The sequence below is a fragment of the Homo sapiens genome, chromosome 1, assembly GCF_000001405.40.
Source record: "Homo sapiens chromosome 1, GRCh38.p14 Primary Assembly".
NCBI classification, from domain to species: Eukaryota; Metazoa; Chordata; class Mammalia; order Primates; family Hominidae; genus Homo; species Homo sapiens.
The window spans coordinates 176880349-176902520 of NC_000001.11; the positions used below are offsets into that span (position 1 = coordinate 176880349).

At 43.6% G+C, this 22172-nt stretch overlaps 1 protein-coding gene across 6 annotated transcripts in view; it reads right to left on the reverse strand.

The window, feature by feature from the left end:
• The window catches only part of ASTN1 (astrotactin 1), a 307392-nt gene that overhangs the window by 23028 nt on the left and 262192 nt on the right, over positions 1 to 22172 (reverse strand). For 5 of the 6 annotated variants that reach the window (NM_001286164.2, XM_017001341.3, NM_004319.3 and 2 more), the window contains exons 17-20: positions 14214 to 14482; positions 7723 to 7856; positions 3991 to 4142; positions 2511 to 2646 (exon numbers count right to left, since the gene is read on the reverse strand). In NM_001286164.2, coding sequence (NP_001273093.1) covers positions 2511 to 2646; positions 3991 to 4142; positions 7723 to 7856; positions 14214 to 14482 — 691 coding nt within the window. Of the gene's footprint in view, positions 1 to 2510; positions 2647 to 3990; positions 4143 to 7722; positions 7857 to 14213; positions 14483 to 22172 lie in introns of those variants that run through there. The other variant, XR_001737193.3, reaches the window with a different exon arrangement.

Consider the following 22172-nt stretch of genomic DNA (forward strand, 5'->3'; position numbering starts at 1 on the left):
TGGTTTCTGCCCATCCCTCTGATCTGCCTCCCTTTTTTCTGAATTATCTGTCTGCTGTCACACGTCCGGAAAGAGAGCAGCTCTCCTGTGAGCATGCATTGTGATGATGGGGCAGTAGGTTGAAAGGCCTGTGAGTCACCTCCCTACCCTGGCCTCAGTTTCTTCATCTGTAAAATGAAGAATGCTGGACCAGACATACTTTAAGGTCTCTTTCAAGTAGGAGTTCTTCGCTGTTTTTGGGCCATGGATCCTTCTCAGAATAATGTTTTAAAAAGCATTAAATAAAATATAAAAAGTGACAAAGGAAGCCAGCTAAGCAGAAATGCTGTTCCACCTCTGTGGATCCCAGGTGCAGAGCCAGCGCTCTGCTTTAATATGAGGTAATGAGGTCATGCTCTGAGATTCTCACAGTAACCTAGAGCAGCAGGGAGTTAAGATGCAAGGCTTGCATACCCGAAGCAACTAGCTGTGTGATTCTGGGGCGGTTACTCCGTTTTCTTGCACCTGTTTCCTCAATTAAAAAATGGAAACAATACCCCTAATCTCACAGAGTCAGAGGGGATTCTCAGAGTCAGCACTCCATTAATGAAGGCCGCCCTCCTCCCAGTTTATAGAAAGAAAACTTAGTTGGAGAAAGTTTCAGTGTCTTGCTTACAGCCATTTAGTGGTTAGGAACAAAAAACCAGGCTTGCAGCCCATGTATTCTTAACTCTTAATCTAGGGCTCTGTCCCTATCCCAAGGGCTGAAGCGCAGCTCTCCTGGATCCTTCCGGGAGAGGAATGTCACTCCTGGCCTCCCACACGGCCCTCTTCTTGTGATCTGCAGCGCCACCTGGTGGAGATTTGCTGTTTCTTCCTTAGCCCCCTGCATTGGCTCCAACTTCTCAATAAACAGCATTCACAGTTCGCATTTTATAAGATGTAGGAGGGACATAATGGGAGATCAGCAAAGACAGCTGGAGTGAGAGACGGTATTGGCCTCGGTCTCTGATCAGAAACGCAGCCAATCAGGCCAACATGAGGAGGGTCGCAGTGTGGGTAATGGCTGCACTCCTAATACCACTTCTTGTACATTGGAACTTTGGAATTCCTAAGTAACAGTGTGATTTAGTCACAACTGAAGGACTACTGAGCCTTTACTATAAATGATAGTTCAAGTTTCACTGAGTTTGAGATGCCTTACAGCAGGTTAGGTGGTCTGCACTCCCAAATCCTTGTTCCTTTCACCTGCTCCCCTCCAATAAAGGGCCACAACTGCCCCCTATCAAAAGAGCCAACGAGAATCATGGCATTGGTGGAATCACCCAAAAAGTGGACCAACATGGTCTTAGTATTCTCATCTGTGTCTATATATACTGTCGAAATCCTCTAGAATGTCACTTGTGTTTATGTACTTTACTTTCATCATGCATAGCCCATAGCAACATCCCTTTTTCCTATATTGAAGACATTCAGCCTGAGCACTGAAGTTCATCTTGCAATCAATGCCACTCAAATTTCTAGTGCTTTTCATCTCTGAACTCTTTAACTGTGGAAATAGACATGATTTATTCTGGAAACCTTGACTCTATTCTCGTGATCTCCTCTGCAAACTGTTAAATGTTTTTCATACTGATGGGGTCACGAAGTCCTACAACGACATCACTATGAATTCTGCCTTAGCACCCAAATTTTTCCATCATGATTTAGATTCTATCATTATCTCTCCTTTTCTGGCATCTTTTACATCTCTGCGTCACAAACATTTTACAATTGTTTCCAGAGCACAGGGAGAAATGGGGAAGAGTTCGCAGAAAGAATAGGGTCATTCCAATGGCCATGATATAGTTCGCTGCATTTCTTTGAAGAAAAGTGCTGCCCATTTCTAACATTTCTAAATTACTTCAATGCCATTGGAGCTAGCTAGCTTTCTAAAGCAGAGTTCTTGGTATTCTATGCCTTTCCTCAAAAATGACTCCTTGGACTTATAGCATTCTATCTTTCCAGTCTCACTTTCTTCCTTTCCCTTTTACTCACCGTCTGCCTCTGCCCTACTAGACTACTTGCTACTCACCTTCATGCTTCTTCACCTTTGCCTTTGCAGCTTCCTGAGCCTAGTATACCTTTTCCAACATGACTGTTGGTTGAAATTCTACACAACACAGTTTAGATGACATCCACTCTAGTTAGAATTAATCACTTCTTTCTTCTCTTTTACAATTTTTTTTTTCATTTTTTGCTTTTCTATCTACATTTATTTAATTCTGCCTTAAGTTAAAGTTAGTTTTTTATATCTTTCCCCTCTATGTTGCAAACTCCTCAAGGGACAGGACCGTATTATCTTTCTAGATCCCCCCATTCCAGTGTCTAAGTACTCGAGAACATTCTCTATAATGCCACCTGGGATAAGACTTCAGAGACTCAACATGTTTTGCTGAGTCTCTAAAGGAACTCAAGTAGCAAGAAGAAACCGGTAAGAAGCCTTGGGACTGTCAGGGTAAGAAGTCACTAGGTAGGTGTGTGTTACTCACATGTAAATGGTGTCAGGTTCCAGGCATCGTATGATCAGAGAGATGGTGGTGAGCTGCTTGTCCGGCACCTGAGATGGCATTGCACAAGGAGACTTTGCTCCAGAGATGATGTCGTCCACAAAGCTCAGCACTGTTTCTGCCCAGAGGAGAAGGAATGGAAAAAGCATGAGAAACAATGACGGCCAAGCAATGAGGAGATGGAGTCAACTCAATGAGAACTTAACATGACAATGATTTGGTCCTCAATCTCTAGAGTAGAGAAGGAGACTTAGAAGGAATGGCCTTTTCTATTTCATATTTAACCACTCAGAGCTGTCTAGAGTTAGTTCAGACACAACTAGGGCAAGGGATACACATCACACCTGAGAGCTTCTTTTTTTTTTTTTTTTTTTGAGACAGAGTCTAGCTCTGTCACCCAGGCTAGAGTGCAGTGGCGCGATCTTGTCTCACTGCAACCTCCGCCTCCTGGGTTCAAGCAATTCCCCTGCCTCAGCCTCCCAAGTAGCTGAGATTACAGGCACATGCCGGGGTTTCACCATGTTGGTCAGGATGGTCTCGAAATCCTGACCTCGTGATCCGCCCAGCTCGGCCTCCCAAAGTGCTGGGAATACAGGCGTGAGGCACAACGCCTGGCCTGGGCGCTCCTTTATAAAATTTTCTTGGCATGGACAGAGATAGCATTCTGGTCAGTGGTCCCTGCCGTACCTCAGCAATACCTGTGCGCATCAGGCAAAGGGCCTTGGAAGAAGCGGTAGGCAGCTCTCTATGCCTGAAGCAGCAGCTGCGTATGTCTCTAACCCTCAGTGGCAGGCTCACCAGTAGCTGTTTATTTTGAATTAGATTGTTGGTGCCATCATCCTGCTGGTGACCACATCCCATGCATAAGTTTTTGGGATTATGAATGTTGACCTTTCACTGTGTGCAGGTAGTGAAATACTAAGGCAAGGAACATTTTTCATGGGGTGTTTCCATTTTGTTAAGGCTTCCCTCTTACTAGCTGGACCTGAGAAAAGCAGTTTGCTTCAGGAAAAGACATGGGCCAAACACATCTGTTTGCACATGCTTTTGCCTGGAAGGGGGTTATTAGCAAAGGAATTTTTTTTCTGTAATCATGGCAGTGGTTAGCAGAGAATTGTTTCCTAATTGTGGGCTAGGATAACTAGTGTATTGTATTGTTGTTTCTTTGTGAGTGTGCCTAGAGGCAATGAAATGGACACCTCTTTTATAAACAAAAAACAAAATCAAAACAAGGCTTTGTCAGATGCTCACCAGGCAAAAACTCTTAAATGGACAAGATGGCTGCTGCTTGGAAGAACAGCTGCTTCCTGGAGAAGAAGAACAGCTTCTTCTTCTCCCTGCTCCTCCTGCATTGCCCTGGGATACTGGGGACCTGGAGCAAAGCCATGAGGCAGGGCATTTTTCTTTGTTTTAGTTTTATCACCTTGGATCAAGACAAGCCCATGAAGTAGAAGGTGCTCACCTGTCTCCACTTTGGAGTGGTCCATCCTGTCAGTGACTTTCTCTTGACGGAGGAGGTAATCTACAATCTGCACCCCGATTGGTGGCTCTGAGTGTTCCCACTCCAGGACCACAAGAGTGCTGCTGGGCTCGTGAACCGTGGAGAGTCTCAGCCTGTGTGCAGACAGGAAGGAACATGAAACAGGGACACAACTGTGACTCACTTTGGGCACTGACTACCTCAATTGTGATACTGTAAGCTTTTCTTTCCCAACCAACTACAAAAATGATCTCTTTGAGGGCCTGTCTCTTTCAAAAGATAGTAATGTTTTTGAGGACTCTTGAGATCTATGTTTTATGTATTAAATGCCTGTTACATATTATAAACTCAGCCAATAAGTGTAAATAAATAAATCAGTAGGTGAGTCAAAGATTAATGAATGTCTGCATATTACATGGGTCAGAGGATAGGGCTTTTGGAGTAGTACCATTTTATATGGCTGGAAAATATCATAATTTCTAGATTTTCTCTTGAAAAATATCAAGAGAGTGTGTGTATACTGCTCATATAAAGACGTATTGAAGGTGATGTCCAGAATCTCAAATTAATAAGGCCACAGTTGGTTTGGCTTCCATAACCTTATCAGGATCTGCCGTGCTGGTGGGGGAAACCCCAGCTTCCCTTCTTGCTATGGGAACTAACCTATCCTTTTCTCCAGGCCATCTGCTAGCTGGACCTTGGAACAGGTTCAGTTTGGAAGTAATATTCATAGGGGGCTTTACTGGACAAGAGAAAGTTGGCCACATGTCAAGTTCTCCTTGGAGTGATGTCTTCTGCCTGCTTGCCCAGATTCTGATTTCAGTTTCTGTCTTTGCTCTTGGGTTTATATGGATATCCTGGTTCCTGATTCCAGCCTTTCCTTGCTTTTCTCACTTCATACTCTCCTTATTCTTTACAAGTTGTCCACATTTACCACTGTCTTGCCTTGCCAGCTCATACCTCTCTGTACCTCGCAGAAACTTAATAATCCTTGTTGGCATTCACTGGTATGGATCTCTTAATTATCCACGTGGTTTCAATTCACAGCCACCTTCTGATTTCTTGTATGTGCCTCAGGTTTCCCCTCTTTCTTCCAATTCTGTGTTTCTTTCAAGATGACTGGATTCTGGGAATGTTCCCCATTCCTGCTCACTCCAGCCTCCCTCCCTTACAAGTATCCCTGCCATTTATCTCATCCTTGGTTCCCAGATATCATGATCACTCATATTCCTGGCCCTCCTTTTCTCTGCTTGGCTCACAGGTGCCTGTCGGTCGTCTCAAGGATCACTGTGCAAGGTACTAAGAATGAATGACACCAAACCATCTGCAATCTTCAATTTCAATTCAACAGATATTTGTGAAGCATCCATTTGCTACTGGGGATGCAGTGGTGCACAAGCCCATCCCAGTCCCTTCTTTAAAGGAGCTTAGTGAGCAATAGAAGCATATAATTATACATGTGATTATAATAATATGTGATAAGAGTTTCAAAAATAAATTATAGTAGACTGTGGACACAAAAGTAAGGAATTCAACTAGTGGGAAAATAATACAAAACACATGCTCTTCTGTTAGTGAAGGAGTGCATAGTTTGCATATGACATTGAAGATGGAATAGACCCAAAACTGTGCAGATATTGACAAATTCATTAATTAGAGTCATATGCAGAGTGCTGTTTTGAAAAAAAAAGCATTAGGAACGTTAAATAAGTTAGATTTCTGAGAACACAAATTCTGTGAAAATATGGACTAAACCCGGCCTCTTCTGAGAAATAGAAGTGTATATGATTTACACAGACTTGTGTAAAACTAAAGTATATTTTCGTTTCCCACTGAAACTAAGGTTTGCTACTGAAGGAGGTGATCAGTTGTCAAGAAAAGGAAAGTCCTTAATAGACATTTACTGTTTATGAAAATTTAGCCCAATTTAATCTTTTGCAATAAGATTTAGTAAACACAGGTTTAAAAACAAAATAAGCCCTAGGACATTATGGCTGGATCTTGTGTCCACCTGATAACATTTGGTAGCTTCAGTATTGTTTCAGAGGTAGCTCTCTTACCTGGTGAATTAGTGTAACAGCAGCAGTTCTCCTAGTGGCTCCCTTTATACTAAATGAAGGAACTTTTATTAATAATGAGCTTGATTCTCTTTTAACTCAAGAAGTCCAATCATGACTATGAAGAACAGGAAGCCAAAGGCTAGTGTATCTACAGCCAAAGGCTGTAGGTATCTAAAACCACCTACAGAGAGAAGACAGACTGTGGACAAGAGAAGAAATTGGCTTGTAATGACCCTCTAGTGCTGCATTCTCCTCCTTCCTCTGATTTCTTCTTGCTCTGTCCTGGCCCTTTAGTGCCTACCCGCACCTGCATGAAACAGGCCAGAGGGCAGCCTCTCAATTGCTGCTTTCCTAAGCGGTCTGTTGCTCCTGCCTACTCAGCCTTTCACTTTTGCAGGCCCTGATCTTTACTTCAGGATTTCTTTGCCTTACCAGCCCCTGGGGTCACTCTCTTCCAGCTTGTCATGCCAGCAGTCTTTATTAGATACAATATTCCTGTGGCTTCAGTCCCATGGCAGATGCCATATTAGAGGCTACAAGGGATTCTTGTCTCAGGTCCTGGCCCTCAGCTTGGCCAGTTCTGTTTCGTCTTCCATTGAGGGGAAGGAAATTGGGCATGTCCATTCTCAGACACCTTTGTAGCACTTCATCCTCTTCACCCCTCAAATGCAGACTCTCCTATTGTTCATCCCCAGCCCTCTGCTCTTCCCACTTGATTATTGTTCTGGAGCACTCTTTCTAATAGCTGTGGTTTCATCTCCCATTTCTCTGGGGTTGACTGAAATCTCATCTCTAGTATTTACTTTTTTGCAGAGCTCCATCTTTCTTTCTGCACACTGAACATCCCCACACACTCAACTACCCCATGACAGCTCCAAGGCAAGCCCAAATGAAACTGGCTTCCTCCTCAAACCTGCCTATCCTTTGATTCTTCTTTGCTCACTGGTGGCCTATTCATCTTCCCAGCCACCAGGGTCAGAAGTCTTAAGTTCACTTTCCACTTCTCCTTTCTCCTCACCACTACTTCAATCAGTCACCAAGCCCTGTTGGTTCTGCCCCAGATCATCTCTCAATTTTATCCTCTCCGTACTATAATGGCCAAGAACATGCCTCTTAACCAATTCTGCTTCCTGCTCTACCACTTTGGAAAATCATTCAATCCATTTGAATGCATTTTTTTTTGTCTATTAAATGAGCAGTATCTAACTGCTCCATACAATGCCTGGCACCCAGTAAGTGTTCAATGAGTGGTTATGTTTTTGGTCTAGTTAAGCTCTCAGTGTAGATCTCTAACTTCTTCCATTACAATGGCACTTTTCTCCCCATTGTCTTCTAGTTATGCTGTCCTACTTTCTCCACCTTCAAGGAGAAGTTCAAGCGCCACCTCCTCCACAGAGCCGTCACCATGGCGTCAGTTCAGACTTGACCATTCCCTCTTCACACTTTCTTTAAATGCCTCTTGTTAACACTTGTCACACCCTTTCTCTACTAAAACCATCTGTGCTGCCTCCCTTGGTAGATTGAAAGCTCTCTAAAGGCAGGTATTGTGTCATATTTTTCTTTGTTTCCCAGTACCCAGCCTATTTCTTTGCAAATAGTAGACGCTCATTATCTGTTTCCAGAGTAATGCTGAAAGAGAGAAAGAGAACCATACACAGGCTGTGGGAGAGGCGCACAGGTGGGGAGTCCATCAGCTCCAAAAGCAGTGGAGTCACATCGACACCAGTCCTCGATGACATCTCCAGTCCCTGAGCACCAGAGAGAGCTCATGGTAGCCTCCTGCAAGAGCTGCATAAGAGAACAGGGAAAAGATTGAGTGTTGAGAAGCCAGGGCTAGGCCATCAGAATCAAGAGGCAGAGTGTCAAGGATCTGCATGGCCCTAAATTACTTCCAGCAGCAGGTTGTGTCGCCACTTTATCATTGTCTCAAATTCTGATTCCAGGAGATTGTTTCTGGGAAGCCTGAGCCTCTTAGAACCTCTAGGGTGTCCATCTCCCTTTACCGTAACAGTTCCTCCTTGTGGTAATGGGCTGCCACTTTGGCAGCAAGTCATATTCCGCCCTCCATCTGTCTCATATACCACTCCATCATTCCACAACTTAGGCTCTAGAAAAAAAATTACGCCTCTACCACACATCTTCTGGGTGGCTACTCTTCCCTCTGCCCAGAGGCATTTGCCTTTTCCCAAATGCTTCTCTGTGCATCCTTATCTACCTGCCCCAGTATTCCCTTTGCATTCCTTCAGCATGCTTTCTAACCTGCTTGCAATATTTTTGCAATGCTGCCTTGGGTTGTGACTTGGCATTAGGCATTTCTTTCTTAGTAAATCATGAACAGGAGAAGCAATGTGGCACACAGGCTAAGAGCTGGGCTCTGGAGCTGTCAGCCCTGAGTGAGAACTCCTGCTTTGCCAATCACTGCCATGTGACCTTGGGCAAGTTACATAAGCTCAGTTTCCTCAATAATAAAATGGGATAAAAATAGCACTTTCCTAATAGGCTTGCTGTGATAATTAAATCTAATAATATGTGCCAAATGAAATAATGTATGCATAGTACCTGGAACACATTAGTCACGAATAAATGCCAGCAATTATTATTGCCTTTGAATAACAGGGTTGAGTCTTAGATAGAAATTTGTAACCATCACAGAACCTAGCAGAATTCTTTACATGCAGAGGGTTCATAGAGATATTTACTATTAAGTAAAAGGACAGAAGAATAAAATTAGACCAGTGAAGTAACAGAACCCGTAATAGGGCCAGTCCCTGGTGGCGACGTGGATCCTGATGGAGTACTGACCCTTCAGTGGGGCGCTGCTGCCTCAGCCCTATCCCAAGGGGAGGGAGAGGGTGGGACTGGCTGCAGGGAGCATGGCTGGTCCAAGCTAGCCAAGTCAGGACTTTCTCTCTGGGTGAGCTCAACATCTGCAGCTTTGGCTGTTTCTTATGATTCTCTTCTCTTTGTTTCATTCTCACTACATTCACACCTAATCAGTAAATTAGAAAAGTGAAACCTGGCTATCCTTGAAAATTTTAGACCAAAGAATTCAAAAGAAAAAAGAAAAAAGAAAAGAAAAAGAGACAAACGGAAAACAGGAGATAACTCTCCAAAAATCAGAATGTCTAAACCTAAAGCCAGCAGCCTATGTTCCATTCTTTCAGAACTTTACATTGGCCACCTTAGGTTAGAATAGTTAGACTAAGGGTCCATCCTGCCCCCTCCCCAGATCGGAAGCCTCTAGGAAACAGAAACCAATGAATGATTATAACTATCATTTGTGCAGAGATTTATAATTTACAAGGCCCTTTTTGATGCTAACACTTTGATGAATGGTTATCATGATTTACAGTGGAGAAGACTGAGAGTCAAAGAGATGAGGTGACTTGCCCAGGGTCATAGGGTGGTGAAAAGGGCAGTGCCAGAACCTGAGTTCAACATGACTCACTGGACAACTCAGGCTCCCAGCATGAAGCCTGGTGCATAAGTGCCCACTTTATGCTTTGCCTGACTGATCCAAACTCAAAATTAAAAGGTGCATTGCTTAAAACTAGGAAAACAGATGTCCTTTGAGATAGGTAGAATAAAGGCAACATTGTGACTACTGCCTTGCAGAGCCTTCAATCAACAATTATTTGCTAAGCACCTGCAAGGGGCCATTTTCTACGTGAAGCATTAAGGATACGAGGATGCACAAGACACCTGTGGCCCCTGTCTGCATAAATCTTAAAGTCAGATGACAAACAAACTAGCAAAGTTACAATAACCAAATCACCACACCTGTGGTTAGAACCTCAAAGGAAAAGGTTGAGCTGCCATGAATGCATATGGTGGCAAGAGAGACAAGGAAGGGTAGATAAGCTTACAGAAGGGTACGCGGAGGCCTCTATGAGGATGCAACTTTTTATCTGAGCTCTGAGGGCTGGATCAAAAGTTATTTACTCATGAAAGTTGAAGTAGTGTTCCAGGTTGAAAAAACAATGTCAACAAGACCAGCCTGGATGGAACTTGACTTCTAAAATCAATGGAAAAAAAGGTGGGTCTGTCTGTAAAAGACAGCCTGAGGGAGAAAAGACATTCTCAGCAAGTGGGAGGGAGACAGGGCTGAAACACAGAAGCCTTGTGGGTTATGGTGAGGCAGGGGGCCACATTTCAAGAGCGCTGGTAAGTAATTGCAGTATTTAAAACAGTGGAGCAACATGATCAGATTTTCAATCCAAAAGAGAAAGGACAAATACCTGTGATGACAAATAAGCTAAATGTCATTTTGCAAAAGCTGTCACTTTCCATCTTCAATTCACACCACTCCATAAGAGTTCCTACTCTGGGCAGGGTATGGTGGCTCATGCCTGTAATCCCAGCACTTTGAGCGGCCGAGGCAGGAGGATCACCTGAGTTCAGAAGTTCGAGACCAGCCTGGCCAATGTGGCAAAACCTCATCTCTACTAAAACTACAAAAAGTAAGCTGGCCATGGTGGCGGGCGCCTGTAATCCCAGCTACTCAGGAGGCTGAGGCAGGAGAATCTCCTGACCCTGGTAGGCAGAGGTTGCAGTGAGCTGAGATCATACCACTGTACTCCGGCCTGGGCAACAGAGCAAGACCTGTCTCAAAAAAACAAAAATTAAAATTAAAAAAAAAAAGAGTTTCTACTCTCTGAATCCTGGGCTGCAGGTAACTGCAAACTGTTGGATGAGGATAGAAGAGAGGAATTAAGAAGGAGCCCATTTGGAAAGAAAAAGAAAGGGAAATTACATTTGTCTGAGTATCTACAATGTACCCAGCATTGCATAGGGAATCCACATTTGTTATCAGATTTAATTCTTATTCCAGGAAAGAAATAAAATTTTCCAATTTTTGTTATTGTTGTCTCTAAGGAGAGTGGTTGAACTTCAAGCTAAATTCATCTATCCATTCATTTATCTATTTATGCATCTATTCATTCATTTATTTAGCAGAAAATGAACTATGCATCAGCCACTTGCTAGGCACTGGGATTCTGGAGAAGAAAAACATCCTCATAGTCTAGAGGGGAGGAAACAACTATGTCAACAGCTGCGATAATAGGTGATGCATGCTATAAAAGATGTAGATACAAGCCGGGCACGGTGGCTCATGCCTGTAATCCCAACACTTTCGGAGGTCGAGGCTGGCGGATCACCTGAGGTCGGGAGTTCGAGACCAGCCTGACCAACATGGAGAAACCCCATCTCTACCAAAAATACAAAATTAGCTGAGCATGGTGGCACATGCCTGTAATCCCAGCTACTCGGGAGGCTGAGGCAGGAGAATCGCTTGAACCCGGGAAGAGGAGGTTGCAGTGAGCCAAGAACATGCCATTGCACTCCAGCCTGGGCAACAAGAGCAAAACTCCGTCTCAAAAAAGAAACCCAGAAAAACAAAAACAAACAACAAAAACATACAAACAACAACAATAAAAAAAACAAAAAGATGTAGATACACACACAATGGGAATTACATGAAGGGATACATGGGTTGGCCTAGGAGTGTAAGGAAGGGCTCTTGGCAGCTGGTGATCTTTGAGCTGAAACTGAAGTAACAGCAGGACTTTTCCAGTGGTAGAAATGTGGGCAAGAACATTCTTGGGACAGAGAGTTTGAAGTCTGAAGGGCCATAAGCATGAGAAAAAATGTGTTTGGGGGGTAGAAAGAGTTAAATATTGGAGTGCAGAGTATAAGATATAGAGTGGTAACAACCTAAGTAAGTGAAGACAAAATTGGATCATGAGCTGCCTTATAATGATGTTCTGAGGACATTAGATTGTATTCAATAGATTCTGTGGAGCCATTAAATTACTTTGATGCCAAATTATCTGAAGTTCATATTAGATATATAATTCTGGGTGGTCTGTTAGGGAGACCAGTGAGAAGATTACTTTAATGGGATAGTAGCCTGATATCACAAAGGATGCTGGAAATACGTTGTGATGGGGGTATCATAAAAAGAGAATGAATTCAAGAGGTATTTGTGGCTCTTGGTGATAAAATGGATGTTGGGAATGATGAGGAAATTCTAGGAAGTGGCCCTAGTCTCCAGTTCAGGCAACTTAGTGGAATATAGTGCCATTCACTGGCATGGCCACACAACAAGTATGAGTTTGTGCTGGAAGATGATGAGTTCAAATGTGTTGGGTTTGAGATACCTGGTTCATTATATGGTTTGACCTATTTGCTTGTTTCTTTATGATATTCACAGATTAGACTGAAATATAGCATCAGAGATTATTTAGTCCGACAGGAGGACAATGAGACCAACAAAGGTCAGAAAATGGACCCAATGATATGCCAGAGGTAGAAATAAAAACACACATTGAATTATATTCTAATGTTATGATTTGGCACTCCTCTACTCTTAGCTTCTTCACTCGTCATCTCCATTCTTTAGGAAAGGGCAAAATTAGAAAGAAAAACAGAACAGCGGATGGCAAAGACAAAATATGTCTAAGGAAGAAACATGTGACAGTGACTGAACTCCAGCTAGGGCCACTTGTCTTTGTGTTTAGAAATTAAAGAGTTCAAAAGATGGCCAGATGGAAAGCATTTCTCAACCCATCTCTTAAAACTGGTGCAGGGAGAAAGGGAAGGGGCTGGGGTAGGGCCAAGTAGGGGATCCAGAAAGGGAGTTGCCAAAGACAAACTTCCTTCAGCTTCCCCATTTTGCTTGCAATCATACAAAGAAAGCACGATGTACTCTCTCATCTCCCAGCATGCTTTCTCCATTCTGGAGCTCTGCACGCCCTGTTGCAAGGATGGTTTTGCATGAACTCTCTGATCCCACTGCTCCCAGGCAAGTGGCCCGGGAGCTCTTAGGGTATCAGCAGCAGCAGCCTTGAGACAAAGAGGGGCAGGTAAGGGAAGAAGAAGAGGGCTGGGCATTGGCTTAAAGACACTGCAGCTCTGGGTCTCTATGGTGACCCAAGCCCTCTGCCTTTCCTTTATCCTTTCAGACCCATCCTTCCGAAGGTCTCTTTTCTACCACTCCTCTTCCTGTAGCCACCTTTATCAGATTGAAGACAAACGTGTAGGCCACGAGAACAATTTATCTTTTTGCTCCTGTGAAAAACCTTATTTTCAAACACTCGGTGAAATATCTGTGGCTGAGGCAGGTAGGCGAGAGAAACACACACACCTACAAAATCCCTCCTGTTGGTCTGGGCATTACCTATGAAACAAACACCAGGTGTTCCTTAAGGAGAAAACAGAAAGCAATTATCACCCCACCTGGATGGGCACACCTCTCAGGCAGGTAAGCAGCTCACTGCTGCGACTCCTGCTGCCTTGTCCCCAAGGCTGCCTTTGCCATAGTTCCAGAAGTCCCACACCCGGCGTCTCCTTGTTTTTACTTTTGTTGTTGTTGCTGTTGCTACTGCTTTGTGTTTGGACTCACTCTAATCTCTATGTCCTTGAGGACGTTGGAGAGCTAGGAAAGGGGCTGAGCTATGGCTTCTGACACAGTTCTCCAGCCCTTCTTTTTGGTTCCATCCATTTTCTCCTGGCATCTTTGGAAAGGGAGAGGCAGAGGCAAAGGAGGAGTGGTTGGGAAATGTCATGGCCCAGCAGCATAATAGAAAGGCAAAAAGATTTGCCTGGATGTGGCGTTTTGTTCTTAGAGCCAGAGTGATAGGCAGAAAACCAACCCCTTCCAGGCTGAGGCTGCCAGATCCTTCCCTTTGCAACCTGTGCCTGATATGCTCCTTCTAGTCCAGCTGCAGCTGGGCCAGGCTAAGGGATCAGCGAGGGAAGCTGGCCCACCTCCCAAGCCAACCAGAGTGAGGCAGAACTGAGCATCCTCCCCACAACTGTCCCCAAGGCACGAGGGTTCTCTGAACAATGATTTTGATGATGGCAAATGTTGTGCCTCCCTACTTGCTTTCTTCCAGCCCTACACAGGTGCTCAGTTGTGACTCCTGAATCATATTATCGTGGGTGTTGTAGATGCAATGATTTGAATTAATATGCAAGCATGCAAATTTAAACAAATTAGGTGCCCAGATTAGCTAAACAAAAAGCCTCACTATCCATATTCTAGCATGGCCCTCAACCACACCCTGTCACTTCCTCACACCATTTGGAAAGCCTTCTGTTGTGGTTGACGCCTCCCAGAGCCAAGAGTCCCAGGCCTCTTACCCTCTGGGTCTGGTTGTTGGTCACTAGTTCATAGATGGGGGCTGCTTTGGTCACCTCCAGCAGAACCGGCTCAGCAGGGGTGTCAGGGCTGGATGTCACATGACACAGGGGGCAGGACGAGGGGCATCGTCCCTTGCTGTGGCACTCCATGCGGACTCCAGCCGCCATGTGCTTGGTGCCGGAGTCTGACAAGCTGGTGATGTATTCTGGGAATGTCAGCACCTTGGGGTCTCTTTCCCGCTCCTCAGACTCATCTGATGGGGAGTTGCCTGCAGACACAAAATGGAAAGAAACAGTGAAGGAGTCAAAAAAGTAAGGACTATCATGACCTCGTGGCCCCTGAGTGCTGGGGTCCAATCTTTGGGATCAGAAACAGCCACTGAAGGGGTAAGAATGTGATTCTGCCATCCCACTTAATTTGGGGCACCCAACCTCCCAGCGACACACAGAGTTGGAAATGGCCCTTTTCAGTGAGAATCTAGGTTGTTCCTTTTCTGAGAATCATCAGCTCCACTGAATCTCTAGAGGGATCGGGCTCCATGCTGATGACCCTCAGCAAGAATACAAACCATAACAGTGATTGTTCTATGACTCAATTTCTTCATCTATGAAGTAAAGATACGAATAGTATCTATGTCTAGCATTGGGTAATGAATGAATGGCAATTCCTTTTATAAAGCACATAACACAATGGCTAACAAATGGCAAACCATCATCATAATAGTTTTAATTATAAATATAGCTAAGATTTAGGAAGCCTGTACTATAAAAGTGAGATCCATTCAAGGTCTACTTTAACCTTTATGATAACTCTCTGCATGGCGTTCTATCATTATACTCAGTTTATAGATGAGGAAAATGAGGCCAAGAGCTTCAAGGTCCCACAGCTAGTAGATTGTGAGAGCTGGGATTTGAATCCACTTTTGTCTGATTCTTAAGTCTTTTAGGTCAGAGAGGAAGAAGAATAGAACTCTGCTTCATTATTAATCAATGTATTGAAGATGGGAAGGGAATTTTGACTTTTTCAAAAAGATTTGCACTCCAAAACTTGAGAGATGGGTCCACATCAATTTTGTTTGTTGAGTAAAGGATAGTTAAAGAATCTTTTGGTCTACTTTTGGTGACAAACATAGGAATTGCCTACCAGAGAATAATGGTTTGTTCTTTATACAAGAAAGCACTGCTTGGCATTTCTCTTCCCAGTCCTCATGATTCTCCATTTAACTTATTAATTCTAAAGGAAGATTGAAGTAGTGTTTGCTGACAAAAAAGCACTGGGTTTCTGAGATTCATCACTTCTTTTTGCACAGTTGTAGTCCTGAATGTGAAACAGCTTCAGAGAGACCACTAAGCTTTTGGACATCCTGGATATATACAGGACATTCATTCTGGCCCTCTCAGACTCATGAAGAATGCAATGGACAATGGGCTGGACCTTTGGAGGCACTGGTTGGAAGGATTTTTAAAGTGGTACCCGAAGGTGATTGTAGATATGACTCATCGACTTTATAAAAGAGTTCTCTCTTATGGGGTCCAGGGAGCTCTTTGTGATTCCCTTCTTGTTTGCTATGTAATATGAGCCCATTTAGAAACATCACGAGGCATTTCAGCATTGTTGTTTCCCAGAGGAAACAATGAGGAAGTTTTACCTAGCACGTTAAGGCAAAGGACTCTATGACTATAAATATGGCATATAATTCATCGCATACTTGCATTTTGTTTAATAATCGACCCAGAGCCAAGCTCAAACCCTTCCTTGATTATAAGAGAACTGTATAACTACTCAAACCAAAAATAAGAATGACGGCTTCAAATAGAACTAGCCCTCAAATCACTTCACCCATGACTAAATTTTCACTGACAGGGAGGCTTACGCAACCCAGTCAACTGTGTGGCTACGGGTATTTGCAAAGTGGCCACAAGCTGACCCAAGACTCCCCCCTCCTCCAGCCCCTCACCAGGCCCCCAATCTTTTTCAATATACTGTACGGATTGGGCGGAGCGAGTGCGGGTGGGGTGAGGTCTTTGATCCTTGGTGTGATTTCTGGGCAAACAGCCCTTCATTAATGCCTCATGGCATTTCTAAATGGGCTCATATTACATAGCAATCAAGAACAGAATAGCAGAGAGCTCTCTGCACCCCATAAGAGAGAACTCTTTTTATGAAGTCGATGAGTTGTAGCTCATAATCACCTTCTGGAACCACTTTGCAAATCCTTACAACCAGTGCCTCCAAAGATCCAGCCTATCAAGCATCACATTCTGATGAGTCTGAGAGGAACAGAATGAGTGTTCTGTGTGTGTCCATCATTCCCCAAAGCCCAGTGGTCTCTCTGAAGCTGTTTCATGCAATGTATGGAAAAGGGCTCAAGCATTTCAGAAACCCAGTGCTTTTTTGTCAGCAAACTCTACTTCATTAAGAAAGTAAGTAAAGGGCGGACGTGGTGGCTCACTCTTGTAATCCCAGCACTTTGGGAGGCCAAGGCGGGTGGATCACGAAGTCAAGAGTTCGAGACCAGCCTGGCCAACATGGTGAAACCCCGTCTCTACTAAAAGTACAAAAATTAGCTCGGCATGGTGGCGCACGCCTGTAATCCCAGCTACTCGGGAGGCTGAGGCAAGAGAATCGCTTGAACTCGGCAGGTGGAGGTTTCAGTGAGCCGAGATCACGCCACTGCATTCCAGCCTGGGCTACAGAGCAAGACTCCGTCTCAAAAAAAAAAAAAAAAAAAAAAAGGCAGTAAGTAAAATCCCGGCCCCCCCACCAAAAAAAAATCAGTAAAGATACAGTTTCTTTTCAAAAAAGATTATTGAAATTTCGCCATGCAAGTCTTGCCAGAGGGCTTGAGGGTCTCCTGGTTGGCTCTTACCCACCTTCTAATTATACGCATTTCCTAACTGACCCGCAGCCCTCCTTGTTGAGAATTTGTTCGAGTCTGGGAAAAGAATTTCCACGACATGACCGCTAGATGGTGATATAAGTCTAAAATGACTTTCGTGAGCGGGAGGAAAAAAAAATGGATAAATCTCACTTTGGCACTGTAGAAAATAAACTATGAAAAAGTAACACACGGCTACTTTAAAAAAATGTTGTGGAGGTACAATTTTTCTTTAACCGGAGAATAAAAAATTAGAGACTAAAACAATTCCGTAACATTTACCCGACAGAGAAAAATATAGAGGGGCATAGATGATGACAGGATAATTAAAGGAAAATTAAATTCCGAAGGGAAAATAACCCCTACCCCCAATATCCTTAACATGGAGTAAACACTACTTCAAAGGGGAAGTAATATGCCACCAGTGCCTTTTCTCGCACCTTAAATCCCCAAATACCCAGGCATGCTCCCCACGCCCCCTCCTCTCATTACTAAGCATGTACCGTGCTCATGACAAATGCGGCCACTAGAGGGCGCTGCGACCACAAACACTCCGGAGCTGAGGGTCCGAGGGCCTTCCTGCCCTCCAGCTGGCCATCGCTGGGTCCTGTCATAGCTGTAAACATCTGAGGGGTTGCTCCCCTTGCTACTGTTTTCTGGCGATCCCAATTAAAATCAAGATGCAGCGAATCCCCCTCAAAGCCCTTCAGTTCTAGATACCTAGCAAGATTAGGGAGTAGAGAGGAATGGGAAGGATGTAGAAATCCGTGGAGGGAACCCACCAAACTCTTGTTTTAATTCAGAATCATATTTTCTGTCTCCGGAAAACCTTCAGGTCCACATAAAAAGAGCCCCGCCGGAGGCCAAGACCCACTGCCTTCTGGTCCCCTCGCCAAACAGGATGGGGCTGTCTGGAGAGGAGCTGGATTTGCACAGGAGTGATGAGCAGCAAGCTCCCAAAAGCTATCTATTCAGTTTCCAGCAAAGAATAGAGATGTGTGTGTGAGGGAGATTTTTCAAAGAAGAAATGCATTTCCTATGTTCAGTTAAAGATACAATTGGGAAGTACTCTTTAAAATGATGGAGTCCAATGGTGAAAGCCCAGATAAATCTCCCTTAGCCCAAAGAGAGCACCTATAACCATCACGTCTGTGGTAAGTGAGAGTCGTTCAGGTCCTAAAAGCTTCAGGAGAGGCTGATCTTTGACCGTTGCTTTTAACTCCTCCTGTGTGGGAGTGAACAGTGGGGGAGGTTTGTGTGTGGAGTGTTGCAGAAGAAGACCCTGCCTTACTTCCTTGTGAATCAATGGCTCACCCCCTCCACTGCCCACACCTATTACAGTTCTTTAGGGCATCTTCCCTCTTCTACCCTCTAGAGTCTGAGTAGAACTGCTCTAGAGGTTGGAGACACTATGCTGTCTTTTAGCAAAATAAATATTCTAGTCCAATAAATACACTGCCTCTCTGGACAGAAGAAATAAGCTACAATTAAGGTCTCAAAATCTTATAATTGACAAAGGTGCCTTTTGATAAAGAATACCCAGGTGTGGCTCCCTCCCACCTCTGTTTGCAGAATTCACTCCACTGTTGTCAGGGAAGGTCCGGAGTCCAGTCAGGACACTTCAGTTTCTTACAAATAGAAGAACATCCAACCTGGAATGTAGTTAACAATCCTAAAACTGCAAAGCATTTTGCAAATACAGCTTGCTATAAATAAATGTCATTTGCTTTAGGCTAAATCTGTATCCTACAGCATACAGTGGATGAGTTTCCCCAATAGAATATTGTGGTATGAGAATATCGCGTCCTTAAAGCTCAACATGTCATTGTGGATGTGCACATGGCCTTAGGCATGTATATAGTGGCCCACCTAAATTCAGGAGCACATGAGGGTGACAAAAGTGACCGGCCCATTCTCATGCAGGGTCTGCTCTTCTGGTGGTAACTGACAGGCCATGAGGTGAATTAGTTGTTAGGAAGTAAATTGGTACAATTCCTATAGGATTCTGAGGCTGCTTAAGAATCTCTCTCCTGAGTTGCTGCCCAAGGCAATGAGATGCTAATGACATCACGGCTAGAATGACAGAAGCAGTTCATTAGGCAGCAAAGAAATCAAATGCAAGCTAATCAAATCCCAGCTTTTGGAGACAGCTTAGGATCTACAGGAAAGAAGGCTTGATGTGGGGCAAATGAAGCACAGCCACCCTGAAGCCCACCAAAACCCTGCATTCCAGGATCTACCCCAACCCCCACCCCAGTCTACTGCTCAAGCCAGATGTCCTCGAGTCATCAAAATTCACACAGAAGTCTATCCACCCAGTCTCTAATCAGTCTCTTGGGATGTACAATCATGTCTTTGGACAGAGAGATCACTATGGACTTAAAATGAACTGCTAGACCTGCCATGATGACATACTCTCTGAGCTCAAATAAAACACAATGCAATGGATTAATAATTAGGGAAAAGAAGATAGGACATAAACTGACCATCTTTTTCTCCACTTCTACATGAAATAATAAGTGCCTTGGGGTCAGGAACTATGTCTTTTTTACCTTTGAAACGTCTTTGCCTAGTTTAGTTCTACATATCTATCTCCATATATCCATGAACATATTGGAGTGAATATATTAAGTCATGATCTTAGGTTCACATTTTTACAAAAAGTCAAACACAAAGAAGAAAACCAAACCATTTGTAAACAGTTCTCTAGTCCTTTACTAACACATCAAACAGTAAAGAAGAAAGGAGAAAGCATTATTCTGATGACAGCCAAGTCTATATACCTGGCCAGGATCTCTCCCACAAGTAACAAAACCTCAATATGCTTGCTTGGACATCTACTTATATGTCCTACAGACACCTCAAACTCAACATGTCCCAAACTGTGGTCGTCATTTCCTCCGTACTCTCCTCAGCAGCTATTCCTCGTCGTGCAGGTCCTAACTCAGCAAAACGCACTGCTAACTTCCTAGTTGCTCAAGTCAGAAATTACAGCTTCCTTGCTGGTGTGTTTCTCTCTCTCTCTCTCTTTCTCCCCACCCCATCAACTAATCTTATGAAATTTACATTCATTTTAGCCCCACACCATCCACTTCTCTTGCTCCATGCCCACGGCCACTCAAGGGCTGTGTAAAGTGTGTGGCCTGAGGCAGACTGCCTGGGTTTGATCTCTGACCTTACCAGTTGCTAACTGTGTAATTTGGGGTGAATTTCTTAATCTTCCTGTGTTTGAACTTTCTCATACATAAACTGGAGATAATAACTGAACTGATTTAGTAAAGGTGTAGGAAAGGCTAACTAATATAATTCGCAAAGACAGTTTAGAACCGAGCCTGGGATATATTGAGTGCTTTCTAAATTTACTTATTCTCTCAATGCCTGTTCACTTACCTGCCCTGCTCACCACCAACACCATCGGATGGCAGGTGCCTTGAAGGACAAAATTATGCCTTGTTCTCCACTATAATATCCCACATGCCTTATATGTAATACACACTAATGTATTCAACAATTCATTAAACAAATATTCATTAAATGACTACAAGTGTTTGTTGACTTAATAAATCATGTCTAAAGACTTGCATACAAAATGACTACACTATATATTCTGCAGGTACAAACTAGATAGGATGGGTTTAAATTCGTCTGGGGCATTGCTGTTCTGGGTTCTTTTGAGATGCTCTGGGTTCTTTTAAGAAGAGGGGCATCAATCCAGAGTGGGTTCTACTACTTTTGGGTGCAAATAGGAATTCTTCAAAGATAACCTAGTTGCAGAGATTTGGGGAAAGACTGCAAAAAGTTCATTTTGCAAATTTTCTAAAACATACAAACACATCTCAAAGATCATTAATTCCCTTGGGATGTGAGCACTTAAGCTTAAGAAAGGGAGCAGCCAGGTCTTGTGCTGAAGGGCAGACAGTGTGGTTCAATATGGTGAGAAAATCTGGGAAACTTGTAGCCAATAATGTCACAAAGTGGCAAAAGGGTATATCTGGTGTCCTGGGTCAGTGAAACCACGGGTACCAAAGAGCAGCTGGGGTGAAAGGTAAACTTCTCCCTGTGGGAGCAGTTGGATGTAGCTCCGGGAGGAAAAGTACTTGCAGTCATACTGGGATTTGGCATATATGCTCTCCATCACCAGCAAAAAAGGCAGTGGCTGTGGTAGCAAGAGAGTGCCAATCTGAACCCAAGGATGGTCATGTGATGGAGCATGAAACCCTGCGTCTTCTGCAGTTTTGCTATGCTGCCCAGTCTCAGTCTGCACACAAGGAGCCCTTCCCAGTCTCCAGCCTCACATTCAGCTACTCATCAACTCAGAGTAAACACACCTTTCTTTGGGATTAAATAATGGAAAAACTAGTGGTTCACAACTGTCCAACACATCCAGAAATAGTCCCGAATCCAAAGGGTTTATGTTCTTGTCCCTTCTCACAAATGAATTTGCACAAGTTGAAAACAAATCTTTTGTCAGAATGTACCAGTACTTTTTGTTCCAAAATTAAGGTTACTATATGCTTCAGACCCTGTTCTTTGGTAATTGTTCAAGAAGTTTCTGGAACTAGCAAGAAGTCTTTGTCATAATCATGCCCTGCAGCCGGTCCCTCAAGAGCAGTATCTATAGGTACTGTAAGGTCCACTGAGATAATTAGCAGCCATCAGATACCCACAGGGCACCTCCGCAAAATGTCATTAACTGGAATGTTCGAGAAAAGATGTCTTTCGGAAAAATGAATTTTTTGTTTAATTGATACTTACCCAGAAAATGCTTACGTTCCCTCCAATCCCTGTTGACGTTTTTCTTTTCTAAAAATGCAGTTTTCCAATTTCCTGCCTGCCTCATGAAGCGTTGCCTACCAAACAGCATTAAACCTTTCCCCAGGGAGCCTCCAGGTGATGGTTTTATTCATCAATTATGACTATGCGGATTTGGAAGCTGTAGGAAAAATGGTATCTATACCCCGAACAGCTTTTTAAAAATTGATCGATAACATACGGTGGTATTTTCTGAAGATTTTCCCTCTTAATAGGCATGTTGTCAAACAAATAACGGTCTGGTTGAGGTTCCCGGCTAATTAGGTTT